The sequence below is a fragment of the Homo sapiens genome, chromosome 6 (assembly GCF_000001405.40).
Source record: "Homo sapiens chromosome 6, GRCh38.p14 Primary Assembly".
Lineage (NCBI taxonomy): Eukaryota > Metazoa > Chordata > Mammalia > Primates > Hominidae > Homo > Homo sapiens.
In genome coordinates this window covers 26,058,191-26,083,174 of record NC_000006.12, presented here as the reverse complement: position 1 = coordinate 26,083,174, position 24,984 = coordinate 26,058,191, and the positions used below count along the sequence as shown (strand labels likewise).

Genomic DNA, 24,984 nt, shown 5'->3' with positions numbered 1-24,984 from the left:
TGCACACCAGTCTAGGTGACAGAATGAGACCCTGTCTCCAAAAAAAGAGCTGTATCCACATCCCAGGAAAGTGGTTGAAGATCTACTTTTCTCTGTAAACCTAATAAAGAATAGAGTGACAAATGTGTGTTGTGGAAAGAAATGGGGTGAGAGCTACGTAGATGCAAAACAATACATCCCCACATACCACTTGTTAATCATCCTTTTCCACCCACTTATGGGATGAATTGCATCTCCCCAAAAGATACTCTGTCCTAACCCTCAGTAGCTGTGAACCTGACCTTATCTGGAATACGGTGAGTTCACTGGTTAAGAAGAGATTATAGTGGAATAGGGTGAGTCCTCCAACCAATGACTGGGGTCCTCACAGACACAGAGGGATGATGGCCAGGTAGAGATGGAGGCAGAGATTGGAGTTATGCTGCCACAAACCAAACACAGGAAGCTGCTAGAAGTGGAAACAGGCAAGAAAGAATCCTTCCCCAGAGGCTACAGAGGGATCTTGGCCCTGATAATACCTTGATCTCAACTGGCCTACGTAACTGTGAGAGAATAAATTTCTTTTGTTCTAAGCCACCCAGTTGATAGTACTTTGTTACGGCAGCCCTAAGGAACTTGATATACATTTCTTTTACTGTCATAGAAGTTTTGAATCTTTTAAGTAGGTCTGTACCCTTCCTCCCAGTGTCAACACATGGAATTCCTCTCCTTGTGCCTTGAAAAGTGAAAGGTGTTTGAACTGGTAATGAAAGAAATCTCAGCATGAGGCCAGATGCTGTACCTCACACCTGTAATCTCAGCACTTCGGGAGGATGAGGCGGGCAGATCACTTGAGGTCAGGAGTTCTAGACTACTCTGGCCAACATGGTGAAACCCCATCTCTACTAAAAACAAAAAATGTTATCCTAGCCGGGCATGGTGCCTGTAGTCCCAGCTACTCAGGAGGCTGAGGCAGGAGAATTGCTTGAACCCGGGAGGTGGAGGTTGCAGTGAACTGAGATCACGCCACTGCACTCTAGCCTTGGTGAGAGAGCAAGACTTGGTCTTAAAAAAGAGAAAAGAAAAATGAAATTTCAGCATTATAGAATAAAAATGTTTCCCCTTCCCCCCAAACTTTAAAAAAGCAGAAGTCTGCATCATAAAATGGTCTTTGCCAATGTTATTTTTATTATAACAAAGGAATCTTGCAAGGCTACCAGATCTCAGCAATTGTCACTATGTTCTGTAAAAATCACTTCCTAAAATGTCTGAATTGACTGCTTGTCTCATTTATTTGTTTCTCGTGTCATACTGCAATGGATATCTGTCTTGTTAGTATAAATATTTGTGCATTTTGTTGTTGTTAAAACAGCTTTTTTGGCCTGTCTTCTTCCACCTATGAGGTAATATAAAACTCATGTTTAACACTTATTTTTGTAGCAGGACAAGCTACAGACAAAACCCCTCAGACACTGAGTTAAAGAAGGAAGGGCTTTATTCAGCTGGGAGCTTTGGCAAGACTCACATCTCCAAAAACCGAGCTCCCTGAGTGAGCAATTCCTGTCCCTTTTAAGGGCTTGCAACTCTAAGGGGGTCTGTGTGAGAGGGTCATGATCGACTGAGCAAGTGGGGGTATGTGACTGGCAGCTGCATGCACCAGTAATCAGAACAGAACAGGGATTTTCACAGTGTTTTTCCACACAATGTCTGGAATCTATAGATAACATAACCGGTTAGGTCGGGGGTCAATCTTTAACCAGACCCAGGGTGCAACACCAGGCTGTCTGCCTGTGGATTTCATTTCTGCCTTTTAGCTTTTACTTTTTCTTTCTTTGGAGGCAGAAATTGGGCATAAGACAATATGAGGGGTGGTCGCCTCACTTATTCACCCCCTTTGAGAATCTCACTCATTAGTGGGAGTTCTCACTTTTATTCTCACTACCTATGTCTTCTTGAAAGACAGATTGATAATGATTCATATAGTACACTTGTGCTGAAGCATTTTGGTGAGCTAAGGTAGTGATGAAGCTTTTTATCATTTGGAGAAGTACAGGTAGCAAACAAGGAAGCAGTAAGCAGGTTTCTATTAATATTATAACTCCTATTATAAGAGTTTTAAATCTTCTTAGCACTCGGAACCATTTTTCAAACATGGCCCCAGAAACAAATCCATACCACACCTACATGGGCACATGTGCCACTTTTGTCATATTTCTAACTATGTCTTCAACTACTTGCCCTTAATCATCTATGTGTAGACAGCAATTAGTAAGGTTAAATTTCCTACAGACCCCTCCTTCAGTTGCTAGCAAGTAGTCGAGAGCCAATCCATTTTGATAGATAGCATTTTGCATCTGAGTTTCTTGCCAGGCCACAGTAGTCAGGGCTCTGCTGGTCTTATTAGTAATTATTTCTAAGACAGCTTGTAACCGTATGATTCAGTTGAGCATGTAAATGGGGGTCCCATATCCCCACAAGCCGTCTTGTGCCCAAGTAGCAGGCCCATAATATTGTATGATTCTCTCAGGGGGCCATTCATTATTTTTCCAATTTTCTATAGCTATGCTTTTTTTTTTTTTTTTTTTTTTTTTTTTTTTTTTTTTGCGGGAAGCATATACAGGGAAGCCCAGGAGTTTGCCTGTCTTTATGGGCAGTAGGAAGAAAGATGGTTTAGTAGTGTCAATAACACAACTACCTGCCCACTGGTCAGGTAATTTGGCATAAGCTGTATGCCCACATATCCAGTATAATCCAGTGGGGGCTGTCCAGTCCCGGTGGGACTCTGGGTGGGTCCACACAGTTTGCAACTTTGGGAATTTACTAAATAGATTTTTCTTAGTGTGGTTTGAACTCCACTAGGTGGCTGTTTTTATAGTACTATTATACAGTTTTTGCCCAAGGCAGCTGAGTCTTCCCACAGGAAGGGTGAAGTCCTTCCCCACTTTTGCTATACAGTATTGTCTAATGATTGAGGCTTTTAGGACCCAGAAGTTATCAGGGTGAGTCTTTTGAGCTGGGAATTTATCAGGAACTGGGTCTGTAGGTACTAATTCTCGTGCTTCCCATGGCCATTGATCTCCCATTACAGTTCCTCCACATACATACATAACATGAAGTGACATTGAGAGACTGGGCTACATGCTCAGCTAATTGCAAAAACAAATTTCTTGTTTTTCCTGGAATTTCTAGTACTGGCACATTCAGTTCATCATAAGAAGGTTTGAAATACTGGCTCAGGGGAGCATTTATAAACTTCTCCTCAAACCACCATATTTACTCAAGGATCCAGTCCAGCCCCAACTATTTCTAAGGTTACACGATCCCCTTTTTTCCAGTGAGAATCAAGGGGGTTGGTTATTACTAGTTCTAAGGGGTTACACTGACCACTGGTACAGGAAGGGCCACTTTTCCCTTTCTGAAGGTGGACAGGATTCTTTTTATTTTTTAACCAAGTTGCCTAAATGACACAAGACCAGTATCTACATTTATTTCCACGCAGTCTTAATTCATGACAAGCGTACTTATTTTCTGCCATATAGCCTCTTTCCTAATGAACAGAACCACATCCTATTTCTAACTTATTACTATTAATGACAGCACAGGCATCAAATTTCAAGGTGACTTGTTTGGGCATTCCTTTTTCTTCTGTTTTGGCTAACACTTTACTCGTATCGTTTATGAACCCCCACCAGTCCTCAGTCCTCAATCTTATTTCAAAAACTGTGGTCGTGGGAGGCTCAGATGGGTCATAACACACATCAGGTTGGTCATTTCTTGGGCTACCTACCTTGTATAGAATAGCATTATACAAACAAGTTATTTTTAGAGTCTTTGTACACTTATAATAACCATAAAATAATAAGACTGTAGCAACTTTTTGTCCTACCTCAGTGACTTGATGTATACACTGGGAACAGCCCTCAGTCTGAGGAAGGTTAGTTGAAGTCTTTACTGTGCAAGTCCAAATTTTAAGGAAAATGAGTCCCTTGATGAGTTTTCTCATGTTTCGGCCATGCATGGACCAGTCAGCTTCCGGGTGTGACTGGAGCAGGGCTTGTTGTCTTCTTCAGTCACTTTGCAGGCGTTGGCGAAGCTGCCACGTACAGCTCACAGTCTACTGATGTTCAAGGATGGTCTTGGAAGTTGGGCCCACTAGAATTAACTGAGTCCAATACCTCTACTCAGTCACTTTCAACTGGGCTTTCTGATACCAGGAGCAAGGTGGCAGGTTTTAGGGTGTTGCAAATTTCAATGGTTATGCAGGGATTTTCACATAGCAAACTTTGGTACTTGGTTAATCTAGCATTTGTTAGCCAATGATGTATTTATTAAAGTCACCACAGCATGGAGGGCCTTTAAGTTTAGGTTTTGTCCAAGAGTTAGCTTATCTGCCTCTTGTGCTAGCAGGGCTGTTGCTGCCAAGGCTCTTAAGCATGGAGGCCAACCCTTAGAAACTCCATCTAGTTGTTTGGAGGCCCAGCCTCGGCCAGGGCCCCACAGTCTGGGTCAAAACTCCAACCGCCATTTTTTCTCTTTCTGACACATAGAGTGTAAAGGGTTTTGTCAGGTCAGGTAGCCCCAGGGCTGGGGCCGACATGAGTTTTTCTTTTAACTCATGAAAAACTCATTGCTGTTGGTTGTAATAGATGTAGTTTATCCAATCTACATTTTTATTAACTGTCACCCACCAAAATATTGACTCAAATCCTGCAGCTATTTGATTTTGGGATTTAAATTGATCTGCTATTCCCTGTGGGACTCCAATTGCATCTAAATAGATGTGAGAGTTGAAAGACACATAAGGGTCTTCTCTTGCTTTACGATGTCTTATTTTTCCTCCCTCTGGTTGATGAAATGCTAGGGTGAAAGGGATAGCCAATTGGACTAAAGTACAAGTGCCGCTCCAGTTATTTGGCAGAGTGCCCAGTAAAGGTCCACCACAATACCACCACACATCCGCTTGGGGATGAACAAAGGCTGACTGATTGAGAAGCTCCTGAAAATTCTTAAGCTCACTGCATCCCTTCAGGTCTCCAAGGAATGCTAAGTTTCCTCCCTGTCATGAGAGACAAGAAGTGAACTTAGTTTTGGGAGATGGAAGCTGGATGGCCCTCAGGGGTTGACCTGCAGGGTGCTGGACTTTGGGATATAGCAGAGAGAGCTTGGCACGACTTATTACTCCAGGCTGTAGAATCCTGGAAAACAGTTACCATGCAGCCCATGCCTGGTCAACAGGAGGACCACCTTAGTGGAAAGGGGATAATCTGGCCCTCTGGCCTGCCATGTGCACAAGCATAACAATTGGTTTTGTTTAATGTGTGGACAGAATATTTGATCCATTCCAACTGGGCATTTGCATCTTGGTATCCTGCTTAATTATCAAAGTTTGTTTTAAGTCTTTAACTTCTATGACCCTCTAGTAAAATGAATGTATGATTTTAGGAAATTACAAAAACCGGTTGGGGCAGTCCATCCTTGCTCTTTAGTGGTCCACACAACATTCGACCAACTATGGCATAAAAGCTCTACATCGGGGGGCAAGACTCCTCGTTGACACTGGGGTCTTTATTGAAATCTCTCTGGAATAAATGGTCTCAGTTTACTAAGGCTCAGTCTGAGGAGAGTCAGGAGGGACAGAGGTACTTTTCTGAAGTACAGAGATGTCTTCGACTTGGCAAGTCCCCACAGGGTATAACAAGGCAAGCATTAAATTCAATAGTTTGAGGCAAAATTGACTTGGTTATGTTAATAACTAGATGGTCAGAAATAGAGTGAGGGAAGAAGAAAGAGTAATAGAATAGATGAAGGAGTTAAATTTTTCTTAGCTTTAGTTTGGTAGGGTTTTCCCCTGGGACTATGGCCCATGACTCTGGAGGGGGTGGCACTTTCTTGACTCGGGTGTGATGAGTCCATCCCTTTTTCACCGTATGAACAACAGTCTCGGTGGTTAGCAGCACAAGGTAGGGTCCTTCCTAGGCTGGCTCAAGTTTTCCTTCTTTCCACCCTTTGATGAGAACATGATCTTCAGGCTGGTGCTGGTTTACAGAAAATTCTAGGGGTGGTACATGTGCTAAAAGACTTTTAGTTTTGAGGGAAAGGAAAGTGGAAGATAAACCAAGTATATAACTTTTAAGAAGTTGACCTTTTGTTTTAAATGTGGGGACATCAGCAGTGGACTTTATAGTCCTTGGTGCCTTCTTACTGAGAAATTTCCTTTAGCACCTATTTTTATTAGTTTTTAGACCAAAGAAAGTCAAATGCCATTTTATATTTGACAACGCTTCTTGTATGTTTATACCAGATAAGCTAGATTTCACCTTTATATTGGTGTGTTATTAATGTTAAACTTAGTTTTAATAAAACTCTGTAGACATATTTATTTGATTTTTAATGTCTGACCATAAGGTAAGATTTTTATAGACTTTTCTTTAACCTTTTATAATTTTTGTTAAAGAACAGGTTAGTGCTTTAAGAAAAACCCGTTGTGTTTTTATTTTAATGTTCAGTTCACAGAAAAACTGTATGATACCCCTTAACTTTAGCCAATATGTTTAGACACAGAATTTTCTTTACAATTAAGGTTTCAAAACTTGCTTAAACCTTCAAAACAATTTTTGTAACCTTTTAATGTAGGTAAAAATCCACATTCTTATGCATCCTCATAATCCTTTTACCAAAGGTATATTTTACTTTCCTTACATACCTTGCACATAAACTGTTTATTCAATAGTTTTACATTTAGAAGGAGGCCTAATTACTTTTAAATTATACAACATTTCTTACATAAATTTATTTTTCTAACACACATTTTTTTCATGACTTTCACAGACAATTCTTCGACATGCCTCAACTTTCTGACTTATTGCAAACATCCCTTTCTTTAAACAACTAGTTAATTTATCTCAGGACAAGGATTTTCCATACAACATTCTTTTTTATATAAATTCTGCCTCCTCTTTATTTCCTTTTTTTTTTTTCCGAGGATGATAACCATTCTTTTCCAAAGCGAACTTCTTTTATGTCTGTGGACTAGACTGTCTAAGGCCACAAGATTAGAAGTTACTATAATACATGTTACACTGTTAACTTTTAGCAAACTTTACTTTTGTTGAAAACCTTGTAAGTTTGGGATTTCAATTATCCTTTGCTATTAATAAGACCTTATTTAGTCCAAATTAACTTAGAATTGGTATAGATGGCTTTTTTTTTTTTTTAATTACCTGGGAGGAACCATCTATCCTCCTGTCCTGAAGGGAGTTCCTCCTAGGTCTGGTCAGAGCTTTGTATGGTAATTAAGATTTAGATCCCCTGTTAGGAAACCTGCCGGGTTAAGAGAATTTTCAGTGGTTAATGTTAAATCATCTTCTTTTTTCTTTTTTCCTTAGGATACTTCTGAACCGGTGAGGTGTGCTCACAATGAGGTTTCCTGTAAAAGTTATTTTTTTACTTTCTTCTGTTAGCAAAGCAGTTGCCGCTACAGATTGAATGCATTTGGGCCATCCGCGGGTTACTGGGTTAAGGATTTTTGATAGGAAGGCCTTAATGCTTTTGGAATATGCCCTGACAACAAAGTGCCAGTTCCTTCCCGGTGTTCAGCCACTGCGTTGATCCTCCACGAGGGCCTGCCACGTGCTGCTCTGGTGAGGCGTTCCACCGGGGCAATTGCCTACCTGGGAGCGCTCTCCAGATCTGTGTCGCTCAAACTGGCTGGAGTTCCCCGTAGGGATGCTCCACAGGGCAGGCCTAAGTCGCCTAAGGGGCTGCCTTGACCGTCCGTTAATCACCTCTGTCTCCAAAAACCAGCTCCCTGAGTGAGCAATTCCTGTCCCTTTTAAGGGCTTACAACTCTAAGGGGGTCTGCATGAGAGGGTCGTGATTGATTGAGCAAGCAGCGGGTACGTGACTGGGGCTGCATGCATCAGTAATCAGAACAGAACAGAACAGCACAGGGATTTTCACAATGCTTTTCCATACAATGTCTGGAATCTATAGATAACATAACCTGTTAGGTCAAAGGTCGATCTTTAACCAGACCCAGGGTGCGGTGCCGGGCTGTTTGCCTGTGGATTTCATTTCTCCCTTTTAATTTTTACTTTTTCTTTCTTTGGAGGCAGAAATTGGGCATAAGACAATATGAGGGGTGGTCTCCTCCCTTAATTTAAACAAAATTTTCAAAGTCCTACCCCAAGTAAATTGGCAAATATTAATAAAGTTATGGCATAGAAAATAAAAATGATTGTAAAAGGCGTAAAGATATTTCTGTGGGGAAAACATTTGTTCATTAGTTATCAGTTAAAATTCTGTGAAAAATAACCACTAGAGACCCTAAAGTACCCAGGGGCTAATAATAAGAAGGGAGGAACACCCTCTCACTCCCCACCGTTACCTGCCCAGAAGGGAAGAGGAAGAGGGTGACTCCAGGAGAGCTGTGGTCTCCCCTCCCCATATGTCCACATATACCTGACCTCCCCTCCCCAAAATATATACCCAATATCTCTCCCATATATACATATTTATCTGACCTCTCCACATATGTATACCTAAACTTTCTCTATATATCCACATATACCTAACCCTCTCACACACATATAGCTGACCTCCAGTGGAGGAAAATGGGGAAGAGAGAAGAAGTTATCAAAGGATAAATCTAGGTCATACTCAGAAATGTGAAAAACAAAAACCACACACAGAAAAAAAAAACACACACAAAAAAGAAATTGATAAATTTGTTTGTGTCAAAATTAAGAATTCCGGTTCAATGAAGGATCCCATGGATAAAGTTAAGACACTGCTGTAAGGATGGTAGAGAATTAAATGTCTGAATCAGACGAAAGGATGAGTAATTAGAATGCACAAGGCCAAGAAGAACAAAACAGAAACTCCACATAAAAAATGTATGAGGCCGGGCGCGGTGGCTCATGCCAGTAATCCCAGCGCTTTGGGAGGCCAGGGCGGGCCGATCAGGAGTTTGAGACCAGGCTGGCCAACATTGTGAAACCCCATCTCTACAAAAAATACAAAAAATTAGCCGGGCGTGGTGGTGGGTGCCTATAATCCCAGCTACTTGGGAGGCTGAGGCAGGAGAATCACTTAAACTCAGGAGGCAGAGGTTGCAGTGAGCTGAGATCACACCATTGCACTCCAGCCTGGGTGACAGTGTGAGACTCTGTCTCAAAAAAAAAAAAAATTATATATATATATATATATATATATATATATATATATATATATGAAATAAATGAACAAGAAATTTAGATACAGGAAAATCCAAAGCACTTGGTAATGAAAGAAAGGTAAAGTGATGTGTCCTTTTGCATTTAAAAGAGAGCATTAACAAATTAGAGAGCTGAATAATGCTCAGTATTGGTGTGGATATGGAGACTCAGGAATCCTCATACACTGCTGATGGGAGTGCCCACTCCCTGGGAATATTTTCCAAATATCATCTCAAACATATCCCATAAAGGTGACAGGAAAGTGTGGGCTGACTGATATCCTTCACTGAGAGAGGTGGAGGTAAAATGAAGTCACTGCACAATATAGAGTTGGAAGCAATGGATTAGATGTCCACATAGTTACGTGGAAGAATCCGTAAGATACACACACACACACACACACACACACACCTTTGTGTATATTGTTCCTGGCAGGTAGGCATGGAGGTTTAGAGGCTTTCTACATCACACCTACTGCACACAGTAAATGGCCAGGCTGAGCACTGACTTCCATGAAGGGAGATTGAAGGTAAGAGATTGAAGATTGTTCCCTGGTCTGGGACCCTGCAACTGAATATGCAGAAAAAAGTACACCCCGCCACCCCGCTTCCCATCTTTCCTACCTGATTAGAATAGCTTTTTCAGAAAACGTTGGCCAGGGGTTGTGGCTCACACCTGTAATCCCAGCACTTTGGGAGGCTGAGGCGGGCAGATCATCTGAGGTCAGAAGTTCCAGACCAGCCTGGCCAACATGGCGAAACCCCATCTCTACTAAAAATATAAAAAATTAGCAGGGCATGGTGGCACACACCTGTCATCCCAGCTACTCGGGAGCCTGAGGCAGGAGACTCACTTGAAGCACAGTGATGGAGGTTGAAGTTAGCTGAGATCTTGCCACTGCACTCCAGCCTGGGCAACAGAGTGACACTTTGTCTCAACAACAACAACAAAACCCACCAAAACTTTAAATCTACCTATGGCCAAATGCCTGCTAAAATGAGCACCCAAGAAGCAGTGTTCAGGAAAGTCAGATGAATACCCTAAAATTAGATGCAATGTTGGCTGGTCACAGTGGCTCAGGCCCTGTAATCCCAATCCTTCTTGGGAGGCCGAGGCGACAGATCGCTTAAGCTCAGGAGATCGAGACCAGTCTGGACAACATGGTGAGACCGTGTCTCTACAAAAACGTACAAAAATGAGCTGGGAGTGGTGGCGCGCACCTGTAGTCCCAGCTACTCAGGAAGCTGAGGTGGGAGGATCTCTTGAACCCAGAAGGCGGAGACTGCAGTGAGCAGAGATCATGCCACTACACCCCAGCCTGGATGATAGAGCCAGACCCCCATCTCCAGAAAAAAAAAATAAAGAGAGAGAGAGATGCAATATTTAGGGTTCAACAAGACTGAATTTCTGACTCCTTTCCCTACCTCTCCAGCATGTTAGATTCTGGGTCCTTCATCCTAACCCCCTGTTCATGCCATAGCCACCCTGTGGTACCAACTTTGGAAGCCTGGATCTTCATCCCCTCATGATAATGAGTGTCCCATCAGGTCTCCATGCTCAGCTTGGCAAGAGTATCTGTCTTCTCCTCATGGGACGGTCACATTCACCCAGCACTGACAGGTTCCATTCCCACTAGGGTGGCACCCTATATGGTCTGAGTCCAGGCCTTCCTGGTCCCTCAGTAATCTCAGCATGGTAGCACAATCGAAAAGGGCTAGGCACGGCAGCACCATTTCCCACCAAGAGGTCTGATGGCTCATCACATAGACTGAAGGAGATTCTGAAGAGCAGAGGTGGAATGAAGAATGAATCGTGGGCTCTGCTCTTCCTAGGCCTGTCTTCCTCTCTCCCGAGATGTTAGCTAACTCATGAGAGCCAGAAACCAACTGCAGGCTGGCCTCAGGCACTTAGGTAGTGCTTCAGCCTCAGCAGTCCACATTCTAGGAACCCTCATAATATGGGTTGAAGTATGCATTCCCACAAAAATAAAGTTGTTGAAGTCCTAACCACCAGTACTGAAATGGGAAAAGTTCCCTTGTCCCGCTCGCATGGCATGTGATAGGAGTGTGGCTAATTTCTTCAGTGCCTGGCTGCTCAAACCTCTAGGGGAACATTAAGACGGGCAGGTTGTGGGTCTCCAACCCCATGACCCCACCACAGTGTCTAGGGTTGAATGTTTACAGCTCCTGAAGCCACAGTGGGTGTGTGTTACAGGGTGCTCTTTTAGTTTTGCCATTTATAGGCAGCTGGTGTTAACCAACTCAATTAGACCGTCTACCTTGTCCCAAGGACAGAAGAAGGCTTTCTGTATCCCAGGTTCTTGCCTTGGTGTACCGGAATAAATCAGACCACACCTGGGCTTAGAGAAAGAGTGCAAGGTTTTATTAAGTGGAGGTAGCTCTCAGCAGTTGGGCAAAGCCAAAAGTGGATGGAGTGGGAAAGTTTTCCCTTGGAGTCAGCCACTCAGTGGCCCAGGCTCTCCTCCAACCACCCCAGTCAAATTCCGCCTCATTTTGCCAGGCAAACGTTTGTTGTGTGCTCTTCTGCCAGTGTGCTCCCCTGGACGTCCAGCTATTCGTGTCTTGTGGCAGGCCAGGGGAGGTCTTGGGAAATGCAACATTTGGGCAGGAAAACAAAAATGCCTGTCCTCACCGTGGTCCCTGGGCACAGGCCTGGGGGTGGAGCCCTAGCCGGGGACCACGCCCTTCCCTTCCCCACTTCCATATCATTTAAAGGGACCATGCCCTTCCCTTCCCAGCACTTTCCCCCTCCTGTATCAGGACCTGTGAATGTGGCCTTATTTGGAAATAGGGTCTTTGCACTTCATCAGTTAAGATAAGAGTGGGCTCTAACCCAACATAAAGGGTGTCCTTATAAAAAGGAGAAATGTCATACACAGAGACTGACACCTATAGAGAGAAAATGTGGTGAGTAGACACAGGGAGAATCACCATTCAAGTCAAGCAATGAGTCTGGGGATACCAGAAGCTGGGAGAGAAACCTGGAACAGATTATCCCTCATTGCCTTCAGAAGGAATCAAACCTGATGATACTTTGATTTCAGACTTCCAGCTTCCAGGACTGTGTGACGATAAATATCTGTTGTTAAGCCAACGAGTTTGAGGTACTTTGTTACTGCAGCCCCAGAAAACTAATACAGTAGGTACTATGGACTGAATTGACTCCCCGTCGCAAAATTCATATGTTGAAACCCTAACCCCCAGTGTGATGGTACTTGGAGCTGGGGCGTTTGGGAAGTCATTATATTTAGACAAACTCATCAGGATGTGTCTCTCATGATGAAATTCATGCCCTTATTAAAAGAGACAACAGGCCAGGTGCAGTGGCTCATGCCTGTAATCCCAGCACTTTGGGAGGCTGAGGTGGATGGATCACCTGAGGTTGGGAGTTTGAGACCAGCCTGGCCAACATGGTAAAACCCCATGTCTACTAAAAATACAAAAATTGGCCAGGTGTGGTGGTGCACGCTTGTACTCCCAGCTACCTGGGAGGCTGAGGCAGGAGAATCCCTTGAAACCAGGAGGTGGAAGTTGCAGTGAGATCACACCACTGTACTCTAGCCTGGGTGATAGAGACTCCATCTCAAAAAAAAAAAAAAAAAAGACAATAGAGCCAGGTGCTGCAGCTGATGCCTGTAATTCCAACACTATGAGAGGCTGAAGCAGGAGGCTCGCTTTAGCCCAGGAGTTCAAGACCAGCTTGGACAAAATAGTGAGACCCCCAACTTCTAAAAATTTAAAAAATGAACTGGGTGTGGTGGTACACATCTGAGGCTCCAGCTACTCTGGAGGCTGAGGTGGGAGGATTGCTTGAGCCCAGGAGGAGGCTGCAGTGAGCCATTGCTGTCCAGCCTGGGCTACACGAGAACCTGTCTCGGGAAAAGGAGAAAACAGTGAGACCTCTTTTTCTCTCCTCCTTCTCTCCACTGCCTAAGCCCTACAAGCACAAAAAGGACACCACATGAGCACATAGTGAGAATGCTGCTGCCACCAACAAGTCAGGAAGAGAGCGTTCACCTAGAAACTGAATTGGCCAGCACCTGGATCTTGGACTTCTGAGCTTCCAGAACTGTGAGAAAGTTATTTTTTTTTTAGCGACTAAGTCTATAGTATTTTATTACAGCAGCTCAAGGTAACTAACATAGTAGAAGGGATGAATTATGGAGATCACAAGTCCACGCCTCCAGAAAAAGACTTCCCTAAAAATTAGTCTGAGCAAAATTCGAATGATGAATTATTTTTAAGAACTTTTAAGGGATCTGACAAGTTTGCAAGAGCTAGAGAATGCTTTACAACGTGATAATAGAATGCTCTGTGATGACAGAAATCTTTCCACACTGTTCAAAACTAGCTACTGGCCACTTGTGACTATTGTGCACTTGAAATGTGACTGGTGTCTGAGGAGCAGAATGTTTAATTTTACTTAATTTTAATTCATTACAATAGCTACATGTAGCTAGGGGCTACTGGATTGAACAGCACAGCTCGAGTCTTTTAGAGGGAGACAGGACTCACCAAGATGGATGCTGGTGGCCAAGCAGCAATGGCAGGTAGTACACACACAAGAGGCAGATGATACAACACATCCTTCCCAAACCTGGAGATAAGCTCACCCCACAATCCCGCCGCTGAAATAGAGTTGATGTTACCAATGTGCATTTTTATGTCCTTTTCCATACAGAAAGATCATTCAGCAAGTACTATGGTACTTAAAAAACAACATTCAATTCATTATTATGACAAAATTAAATTAATAGCTCTTCCTTAAACTTTTAAATTCAATTTACAATGCTTACTATTGGCATTTATTAATCTACCAATTTTTTCCCATAGAACCCATAGAACAAATAATCTACCAAATTTTTAACATTCATTTTTGGCAAGGCTTTTGCAATTTGACGAACTTTAAGAAGAAAACTTATAAATTGCAATTTTTAAATCTGACATACTGGACTTTTAAAGTATCCAATTGACTAATGAACAAAACTGCTCCAAATTTTTCAATTCTTAAAAATCTTAAGACAATACTTAATATGGCAAATCTTAACTTCTTAAACTTTGTAAGAATGCTAATCAACTTAGATTGGTATAAAGTTGAGTTAAAAATCACAGGATACATCATCTCAGCTATAAGTTTTCATGAGTTGAGTTTTTACAATCACTTGAAATGCTTAGAATAGGAAATACGTATAAATTATTTAACATAAAATATTGTTACAAAACCTCTGGAGTGTCAGTTTCTCTGGCCAGACTTTATGCTGCAGCACCTTTGCCTGAGTTCTTGTCCTGCATCCAGGAAGAATTAGGTACAGAGGCAAGAGTCAAGAAGATTAGTTTTCCAATAGTTCAGCTCACCTAGTTAACTCCTGTTCACAATCTTCAAAGTTATCAGAAACCTGCAATTGAGGGTTATAATCCATTCTTTGCAGAGTTTCAAAACAAGACAACATTTGTCTATGAATGTTAAAATGTCCTAGGGTAGTCACAGTCAAAAACACAATTGACAAAGAAATTTAGTCACCTCTGTGATTTACAATAGCCTAACACAATAACTCTAATTATAACTGATGACACAAACTCAGATATCAGAACTCTAGAAATCCCCTATAATTTTGGAACACACATTCACAGTTTTCACTGAAATATGACCTGAAGATCAAATATCACCTTATTTCAACAATCCTATATAACTAAACGTGTCAAATGATCCTGTTTACCTCTCCTTTGGATACTCCAGGGGCCCTCTGTAGCATCCAAAAGTTAGGGGTTAGCAAAGACAATTTTGAAGCTGTAAAGGCTCAAAACACTTAATGAACCTCTAGTCATATCTGTTCTCTACTCACTAAATGCTAGTAGCACCTCTCAGTTGTGGCTAAGCTGGGAGGATCTCTTGAGCCTAGAAGTTTGGGGACGCAGTGAGCTATGATTATGCCACTGCACTCCAGCCTGGGCAACAATGCAAAATCCTGTCTCAAAAACAAAAACAAAAAACAAATTGCCTATGCTGTGGTTATCTCACAATTAATAAAAAGGAAAAAAAAAGTATGCAGTCTTTGTAGGTCCTTGGGGTTTGTTGGAACTCAGAAAACAATACCCCAAAATAAAGACCGCAGAAGCCAAAGTTTTTCTCTGATCTTCTCCTGCCCTCCTGTCTCTGAGTCCCATTCTCCCCGGAGTCTAGCCATAGAAATGAGAATTCCTCTTCCTCAAGTTAGGTCATAGAAATCAAAACACCTTTTCCCCAGAGCCCAGCCATAAAACCTAAAAATATTACTCTAACTTTCCCTCTGTTTTTCTGTGTAAAAACTGGCCATAAAGAAATTATCTGAACTACCTTATTTGATCATAGATCACCAGACCGCATTCCAGAGAGGATCCAGAAGGAAGGAATGCTGCACAGAGAGGCGAAGAAGAATCTAGACAGACAGGCCTTGCTGGGTTTCCCTACTCTGTTTATTAGCAATCCTATTTCTACACGGCGGCCCATACTTTGTTGAATCTAAAAAATAAAAATGGACAATTTCCCCTGTACATGTTAATACACATTAATAAATTGGATATAAATTGGATAATTTATTAATATACACATTAATAAATTGGATGCAGCCGGGTGCAATGGCTCACGCCTGTAATCCCAGCACTTTGGGAGCTGAGGCGGGCAGACCACGAGGTCAAGACCACCCTAGCCGAAATGGTGAAACCCCGTCTCTATTAAAAATACAAAAGTTAGCTGGGCGTGGTGGCACATGCCTGTAGTCCCAGCTACTGGGGAGGCTGAGGCAGGAGAATTGCTTGAACTCGGGAGGCGGAGGTTGCAGTGAGCCGAGATTGCGCCACTGCACTCCAGCCTGGTGACAGAGTGAGACTCCGTCTAAAAATAATAATAATAATAATAATAATAATAATAATAATAATAAATTGGATGCATTTTATCCTATTAATCTTCCTCTTGTCGGTGGTTTTCAGCGACTCTTCAGAGGCCAAAGAGTAAGTTTTCCCTTAGCCCCTACAGGTTCTTATGTTTAATTTGTTACTCTCATTTAAGACATAATTAAAGTGGCTTCTCCATGAAGATTATTTCTGCATCCATTATTTGGTAAGATTGGCCGTTTTCTCCTTTGATCTCTACTTCACACTGACCCACATAAAACATCACTGCCTGTTTTTTTGTTGTTGTTGTTTGGAGACGGAGTCTTGCTCTGTTGCCCAGGCTGGAGTGCAGTGGTGTGATCTCCGCTCACTGCAAGCTCCGCCTCCCGGATTCACGCCATTCTCCTGCCTCAGCCTCCTGAGCAGCTGGGACTACAGGCACCCACCACCAAGCCCGGCTAATTTTTGTATTTTTAGTAGATACGGGGTTTCACTTTGTTAACCAGGATGGTCTCGATCTCCTGACCTCGTGATCGGCCCGCCTCAGCCTCCCAAAGTGCTGGGATTACAGGAGTGAGCCACTGCGCCCGGCCCCGTTTTTTTTTTTGGTTTTTGCATGTCTTCTCCCTTTTACTGTAAACTATTTCCACTACCAGCGTAGTTATCATTTCTACTGCTTAATAATTGTTTTGGGGAAGTGAATGCATCAACCCACATGAATTTCTTGTCTATTTGACAATTTATTCTCTTTAGGAATAGTATTAACTCCTAAGGTCCTGGGAGCCAGTCTCTGTACTTGGCTGCTCCAGGGTCCTACTTCAGTTTCCCAGCTTCTCAGTACTGTCACTGTCAATTGTGGGTAATAATTATTTTTGTCCACCAAAAGACTCTGTATGTGAATGAGTTTTGAAATCTGCTGAGTAATACAGTGTCAACCCAGTTAATGATTTGCCGGGCGGCTTGATCAGGGGCTGTCCAACTACCGGCATTTTGATTTGGAGCGTCATCTAGTGTCTGAAAGCACAAACAACATCCTACATTGTAAATGCCTTTGGCTACAGAGATTGAAACCAAAGCAAACCTATGTTTTGAATTGTTATTCTTCAGCAGTTCTGCTAGCTTTGAAAAATCTAAAAGTTAAAAAAAAGCTTTATATTTCATTTTCTGCCTAAACTCTTTAAAATTGCTAGTTGACAATTAGATATTTTCAATTTAATGAAATTTTTTTTTAGTTCACAGATTAATACACAATGGGGGAGGGTTCTTATTCTGTTGGACTTTTACATAACCTCCACTTTAGTGCAGTCTGCTTTATGGGGTCTTGTTTGAGGTGTGTGTGTGTTTAAGGGAATGTGGTTTACAATCAAAATATTGGGTTGCTCTTAGGCACATTGTAAAGTCACACACCTGTATTCTTATTGATACATAATGATTAATAACATTATTATTACAGCCTGATCACCATCATTATTGATATATCTAAATAATGAATTTTATAATTTTGCTTCCTGTCAGGCAAGAGCCAATTTCAGTGCTACCATGTTTGTATAGCAGTATTTATGTCTGTCATCCTCAGTCATTTTACTTCACTTGTTCTTAGCCAAACGGCCGAGAAGCGATGGTCATTTTACTTCAAAAATGAAAAGAATTAATATTTTTACGTTTCCCTTAAAGACCCTATGTTTAACCTCCACTCCTGGGTAAAATGGTCTAGTCCCTCCTTTTCATATCATCTCTGATATCTTTTGCACAGCCACTATTACCTACCGTTTTCTAGATCCCTATTCTTCAAACACCACCATGAAGGTAGAGCCTGTCTGAATTATTTTCTTGTCCCCTGAACTCAGTACATTGTTAGGCTTCTTGAAGATGTTGATCAGTTGTTTGTGGAGTGAATGAATCAGCTAGCATGATTTTTCTAGACCACTGAGACAAGTGTCTAAGACACTTGTTCCTTCCCATGTTCTTGCCTGCCTGTGCAATCCATGCAGTCTCATGGCTTCCCAGTGCCTCAGAATTATCCCCTGTCAAACAGGCATTATAATTTCTGTCCACTGAAAAGGACAAAAAACTAAGTGTATAGCTAGAAGTTAAAAATTACCGGCCAGGTACTGTGGCTCACTCCTGTTATTCCAACATTTTGGGAGGCTGAGGCGGGCAGATCACCTGAGGTCAGGAATTCGATACCAGGCTGGCTAACATGGCGACCCCGTCTCTATCAAAAATGTAAAAGTTAGCCAGGTGTGGTGGCTCGCACCTGTGGCCCCAGCTACTCAGGAGGCTGAGGCAGGAGGATCGTTTGAGCCCTGGAGGTTGAGGCTGCAGAAAAATAGGAATATACTCTCTTTCAAGAGTTCGTGGTTTTGACTGCCACCTAGCGTACATCAGAAAAACCGCATGACATAGGAAATGCCTGTGACAGAGGGGTAAGGTGAGAGAGGTTGATGAAGAATGTATTGAAGGAGTGAAAACGCTTCCATCCCTCTACTTACTAAATATATTAGTTAAGTAGTTGGGGCATATTTTAATTCATGCATTTTGTAGATAGAAAAACAAAAGTTTTATTCTGTTTGATTTAGTTGATACTTTAATATGTGTGTGTTTAGGATGCATGATTTATAATCAGTCTGCAGCACTTCTTGGAGAAGTCTGAATTCTCATTCTCCATTTCCTTATTGGCAACGTGAGAATGATTACAATGGTGGTTGTCTCATAGAATGCAGGGAGTCAGAATGAAAATAGTCCATATAATGCCTGGTGCAGAGGAAGGGTTCAGTTAACTGTCTGTATTAATATTACTGATAACAGTCATGACAAACAAAAGCTTAACAACAACACCACCAACAACAGTTGCAGAATTGAGCCACCAATTTGCACACAAGATTGTAGGTAGGATGTTTTAGAAAAGTTATTATTTAATATATGTATATATTTTTGTACTTAAAATATGTCAGAGGTTGTTCTAAGAACTATTTAAATGTTAACTCCTTAATCCTCATAATGACCCATGAAACAGGTAGGCTTATTATTGTCTCTTTACATGTGAGAACACTGAGACACGAAAAGGTTTATTAACTCACCCAAAGTCACACAGCTGGTAAAACGGCAAAATTGAATTTGAACTCAGACATTCCAGGTTCCAAGACAGTCTAATTATTCTTTTGACTAATATACTAAGCTGCCTCTGTATTTTTCCTTGATTACTTTGTAAAAGTATGAGGAAAATATAAGTGCTTCAAGTAACCATGAAAAATATAAACAATCTATGTATCAACTGAAGCATAATTACAAATCCTTTGATAAGCAAACATAATAAAAATTTGATATCAATCAAAACTTTCATGTAATGTAAGCAGGTTGAGATGAATTCTATAGTAAAAAAGTGCAGAGTGCTGGAATACCATGCTCCTAATATATTGGCTAGGCACACCTGCCTGCTATCAAAGGTATGCACACACCTTGGATACAGAAAGTTGGGACTGGGTAGTTATGTGAGTGTCATCAGAATTCTTTCCCACTTGGGAAAGAATTGTCCATCATAAGCTTGGATGATGGACAAGGAGTGAGCTCCCAGAACAGTGATGTGGGGATACATCCTCACATCACAGTGAGAATGAGTGTTCTAGACTGTTTACACACCTACCACTCCTAAATGCACACATATAATTGCTTGCACACACACACATACACACTCATCTCTTCTCTGGTGGTCCAGCTCTATCTCTTATCATTAGGCTTCTTGGGGCTAGTACCTAGGGCCTGTATCCTTTCAGAGGCAGCTAAGGGAAGCACACATAATTAGAAAGAATGAACCAGCTTGTTGGATTTGGTCTCTTCGCATCCAGCCCTCCAAGTTAAGGAGAGTACCATCTTTCTTAGGGTCACCAAAGGAAAAAAAAAAAAAAGAAAGAAACAGAAGGATATCATACAGCAAGGATCTAATGCAAATATGCCTCAAATGAGAGGCTACTGTGTGCTGATCCCAATCCCAGGAACTGTATGCACATTATCTAATTTAATCCTCACTGTATTTCTGGGAGTATTATTCCCATTTTACAGAGAAGGAACTTGGCAGGGTAACCAAGCTCATGAATGGAGAAACTGGGATTAAATATAAAGCTTCCTTGCTCCAGAACTGCTGTCTTTCTGCTCTTCCACACTACCAGCTCAGCTGTGCTCTCTACATGCAGGCAGTTTTACAAGTTTCAGATTAGCCTGGGACTTCCAGGGTTTTGAATGGGTTAGGGAATGGGGAACTTTTGGGTTTACTTTCCATTTTTTCTTCATACATATGTAATATATAACATAAATCTATGGTATATATGATAAATATATGGCTACATATGAACTATATAATCACATATATGCATTATAAATAAATATTAATTTTATAATATTTTAAAGGTTATCAAATAAATATTAATATAAATAATTAAATAATTAATACTCAGCTTTGTTTTCCAAAGTGATAAATGCCTATATTTAGCAAAATATTTTTTGGAGGCCTGATAGTTTTTAGGAGTGTAAAGAAGTCCTGATATCTAAATGTTTAAGAACCACTATTTTAGGCTGTTGTCTTCTGTCTTATTTTCCCAGCTAGACTGGTAAATACTTGAAGGCAAACGTTTAGCCAGCACATTAACATTTTATGTTTTTATTCTTTTGTGCTCTCAGTGGCTGTGTCTTTTCTATCGATTTCTCACACTGTATGATGGTTATATTTGTCTGTATCTGTCCCACCAGGTATAAGTTCTTGAGAGGACACACTGCTAGGCTGATCTTAGTTTTTATTATTTCTCCTGGTGTCCTGTGCTTAACAAGTGCTCATTAAGTGTGTAAAAACACAGCACAGTAAAAAACTAGACATTAAAAAATAATGTCAACCAATCTATTGAAATTTGCATTTCCATGTTTCTTCCAATATAGTCATTGTGTCAGGTTATGTACTTATTCTGATGAAGACTATTGCCTAATATACGTTTGCATCTTGTGCTTTATAACTGCCTTCATATAGACACAGATTGAGAAGGTGTAAAAATGTGCATATCCTCACAATTGACAAATTCTTATCCTTTGAGGGTAGGTTTGACTTTCTGAAATGCTTTGACATCATTTGAAAGAAGCTTGAAGAATAAGATAGCTGTTAATGACCCAGTTTCCTATGTCACTTATACAATTATAATGGCAATTTCAAAATGTTAGGTAAATATATTTTGCAATATATTGTTCCTTTTGTAATACTCTCTATGTATTTATTTATATTTTTAAATTTTATATTTATGTATTTATTTTTCTGGACAGAGTCTTGCTCTGTTGCCCAGGTTAGAGTGAAGTGTTGTGATCATAGCTCTCTGCAACTTCAAACTGCTTGGCAAAAGTGATCCTCCTGCCTCAGCCTCATGAGTAGAGTAGCGGGAACTACAGGCGCATGCCACTGCACCCAGCTAATCACTATTTATTATGCTCCTACTGTGTGCTTTAGTATATTTTCTGTTGTTTTCTGCAACCCATTTTGAGGGCGTGTTAGGGAATACAGATGCAGTAACTTTCGTCTCAGCCCTTGAGGTGAGGAAATATTTAGCCTCAGGTTTAATCTAATTGTTGGCCATTTGCCTTCAAAGATTGAAATATGAGCAAAACTGTGGCTCTGGGTTATATGTTAAAAAAAAGTTTATGGGGCTGAAGCCAGGCAACAGACAAGAGCCCCTACAATCTTATTTAGGCTGAAAATATCCTGGAGTCCCTGTATTGTTGGTCTCAAGCAGATAGCAACACTAACACTTACTCTTTGAGGCAGGCACTGCCAGTGGGGTGGCTGTTATTATTAGCTTCATTAATTGGTGAGTCAGGAAAAAACAGCTTTAAATCATTCAAAGTTCTGGCCTATACAGGATTTAGTAATATTAGGTTAGCTACATCCAAAAGATGACAGAACCCTACTCTAAGGCTGGGCTTGGTGGTTCACACCTATAATCTCAAAACTTTGGGAGGCTGAGGCAGGAGGATCACTTGGTGCCAAGAGTTTGAGACCAGCCTGAGCAACATAGTGAGACCCCTGTCTCTATCAAAAACAAAGAACTCTAATTGGCATAGTAGAAGGAAAAAGTGAAAGAAAAACCAGCTGTCACCCTCATTCCTTACACCTGTCCTAACAACTCCTCTCACTATCCTTTGAATATATCTTGGCTGTTTGAGTCTCTCTCTAGCCCCATTACTGCTGTTTGGACTTGACATTTTGCTCTGCATTTTTAACTTTTCTACCAGGGTTTCCAGACCCTGAAGAGTGTGGCATGAAACAAAACTAGTCAACCTATAATATTTATGATGTGTGTGTAAATAAAAGAATACACAATATATTGCATTACAATATTTTAACTGTGTCCTCAATTTGTTTGTGGCTTTCTTGAGGACATCAGTTTTGGGTGGGACGACCACATCCTTAATCTGAACTTTCCCTTGGAGGTCATTCTTTTTTTTTTGAAATAGAGTCTCGCTCTGTCACCCAGGCTGGAGTGCAGTGGCGCAATCTCAGCTCACTGCAACGTCCGCCTCCTGGGTTCAAGTGATTCTCCTGCCTCAGCCTTCCAAGTAGCTGGGATTACAGATGCACGCCACCATGCCGAGCTAATTTTTGTATTTTTAGAAGAGACGGAATTTCACCATGTTGGTCAGGCTGGTCTTAAACTCCTGACCTCATGATCTGCCCACCTCAGCCTCCTAAAGTGCTGGGATTACAGGCGTGAGCCACCCCGCCCGGCCAGAGGTCATTCTAATAGACTTTTTTTTTGTTGTTGCTCACAGGCTTGTTCAATCTTATTTCAAAATTTGAGAAATACAGTTTCCATGGAACACCAACCAGATATCAGGTTGCTATGGAGTTGATAGTCAAAAGCTTTGTATCTTCCAGTTTTTCAGAATGGCTTCTAAAGGTTCTGATTCAGAGCTCTTAGGCGAAATTGAACAACCAAGTGTCAAAGTACAACATTCAGGAAGTTAAAAACATGACTGACATATATGTACTATATATAGTGAGCTTGTGTATGTGTCAATGAATGATTTAATTCATTAATGAAGGAGGAAGCAGAATCACAATTAGGTCAAAGGAAGATACGGGAGAATAAAATATGTATTTGGTCAGGGAAAGGATGTATACTGGAAGAGGAAGGGAAAATCAGATATAAAGTTGTTTAATGACTTATTAGGCAATACAATAATAACTTTTAGGGTCATTTTTTCTATATTAAGAATTCATTTCCATCTCTATGACAAAATCCTTATTAATTTATTAAACTTCTACAAGTGAATGTTTACTTTTAGATAGTCTGGACCCAATAAAATGTAAACATTAAGTCAGAGTTACTTTCACGTAGGACAGTGTTGTCCAATAAGGTACCACTAGCTACACGTGATCATTGACCATTTGGACTATAGCTAGACTGATTTAAAATGTTCTAAAAGTGTAAAATACACACCAGGTTCTGAAGATTTATCATTTAAAAAAGAATGTCAACTGTCTTTTTTTTTAGCTTATTTATTATATGTTGAAGTGATAATAGTTTAGATATATTAAGTTAAATAAAATATCTTAAAATTAATTTTACTTGTTTCTTTTCATTCTTTCAATGTGACCACTAGAAATCTGGAAAGTATTTATGTGATTCACATTCTATTTTACTGTCTAGTATTGCCTTACATCATCAGGTACCCCATAAGTAGGCTTTTTAGATAATTCTCTAATATAGCTTGGAAGGATATGGAGAAATATTTTTGCGTTGCTTTTAAGTTTTGCATAACTTTTTCAACACACTTTATAAAGGATCTAGAAAAGGGTTGGTTACATGTTTCTCTGTCTTCTGGCCTCCACCATGTTGCCAGGAGGTTGGGGACAAGATTCTGGGTGGCTGGATGTCCTAATGGCTTGAGGTCTGGACTTGAGATTTGCATATAAAGAGATGTGATTAGATTGAGTCGACTAGAAAAATCATATTAGAGAACTGAATCACAGCGATTAAATTTACATGTCGATTTATAAACCAGGACACCAATTTATAGTGAAAGAAGGTCCAGTTACCTGGTAATCAAGACGTTTCATAGCTATTTTCATGATGGATATACTTAGCTGAGTTTTAAATGAGAAGGGGGTTCATTGCACATAGAATAAGATCTAAGTGAAATGTTTATTTTATTTTTTTTTTTTTGACATGGAGTCTTGCTCTGTTGCCCAGGCTGGAGTGCAATGAGGCAATCTCGGCTTCTGGAGTGCAATGAGGCAATCTCGGCTTCTGGAGTGCAACGAGGCAATCTCGGCTCACTGCAACCTCCACCTCCCGGGTTCAAATGATTCTCCTGCCTCAGTTTCCTGAGTAGCTGGGATTAGAGTTGCCTGCCACCACGCCAGGCTAATTTTTGTATTTTTTTTAGTAGAGATGGGGTTTCACCATGCTGGCCAGGCTGGTCTCGAACTCCTGACCTCAGGCGATCTGCCCGCCTCAGCCTCCCAAAGTGCTAGGATTACAGGCGTGAGCCACCAAGCCTGGCCTAAGTGACATGTTCTTATATTGTTCCTTTCTTTCTTTTTTTTTCGACTGAGTCTCACCCTGTTGCACAGGCTGGAGTGCAGTGGCGTCATTTCGGCTCATTGCAACCTCTGCTTCCCGGGTTCAAGCGATTCCCTTGCCTCAGCCTCCTGAGTGCCACCACCCCCAGCTAATTTTTGTACTTTTAGTAGAGATGGTGTTTCACCATGTCGGCTAGGCTGATCTCAAACTCCTGGCCTCAGGTGATCCGCCCCCGAGTCTCCCAAAGTGCTAGGATTACAGGCGTGGGCCACGGGGCCCAGCCTTATATTATTTCTTTTACTACAATATATTAGTATGATGCAGGTGCTTCAATTGTTTATA

The 24,984-nt window shown here is 41.2% G+C and overlaps 4 annotated features.

The window, feature by feature from the left end:
• Nucleotides 7,164-7,664: an enhancer, noted in NCBI's record as "H3K4me1 hESC enhancer chr6:26075739-26076239 (GRCh37/hg19 assembly coordinates)". NCBI's record gives its function as "activates a minimal SCP1, AML or CMV promoter by ChIP-STARR-seq in naive H9 embryonic stem cells {active_cell/tissue: H9 hESC(naive)}" and the evidence as "EXISTENCE:reporter gene assay evidence [ECO:0000049][PMID:30033119]".
• Nucleotides 7,665-8,165: an enhancer, noted in NCBI's record as "H3K4me1 hESC enhancer chr6:26075238-26075738 (GRCh37/hg19 assembly coordinates)". NCBI's record gives its function as "activates a minimal SCP1, AML or CMV promoter by ChIP-STARR-seq in naive H9 embryonic stem cells {active_cell/tissue: H9 hESC(naive)}" and the evidence as "EXISTENCE:reporter gene assay evidence [ECO:0000049][PMID:30033119]".
• Nucleotides 16,063-16,562: an enhancer, noted in NCBI's record as "H3K27ac hESC enhancer chr6:26066841-26067340 (GRCh37/hg19 assembly coordinates)". NCBI's record gives its function as "activates a minimal SCP1, AML or CMV promoter by ChIP-STARR-seq in naive H9 embryonic stem cells {active_cell/tissue: H9 hESC(naive)}" and the evidence as "EXISTENCE:reporter gene assay evidence [ECO:0000049][PMID:30033119]".
• Nucleotides 18,409-18,548: a silencer, noted in NCBI's record as "silent region_17000". NCBI's record gives its function as "represses an Ori minimal core promoter by ATAC-STARR-seq in GM12878 lymphoblastoid cells {active_cell/tissue: GM12878}" and the evidence as "EXISTENCE:reporter gene assay evidence [ECO:0000049][PMID:35858748]".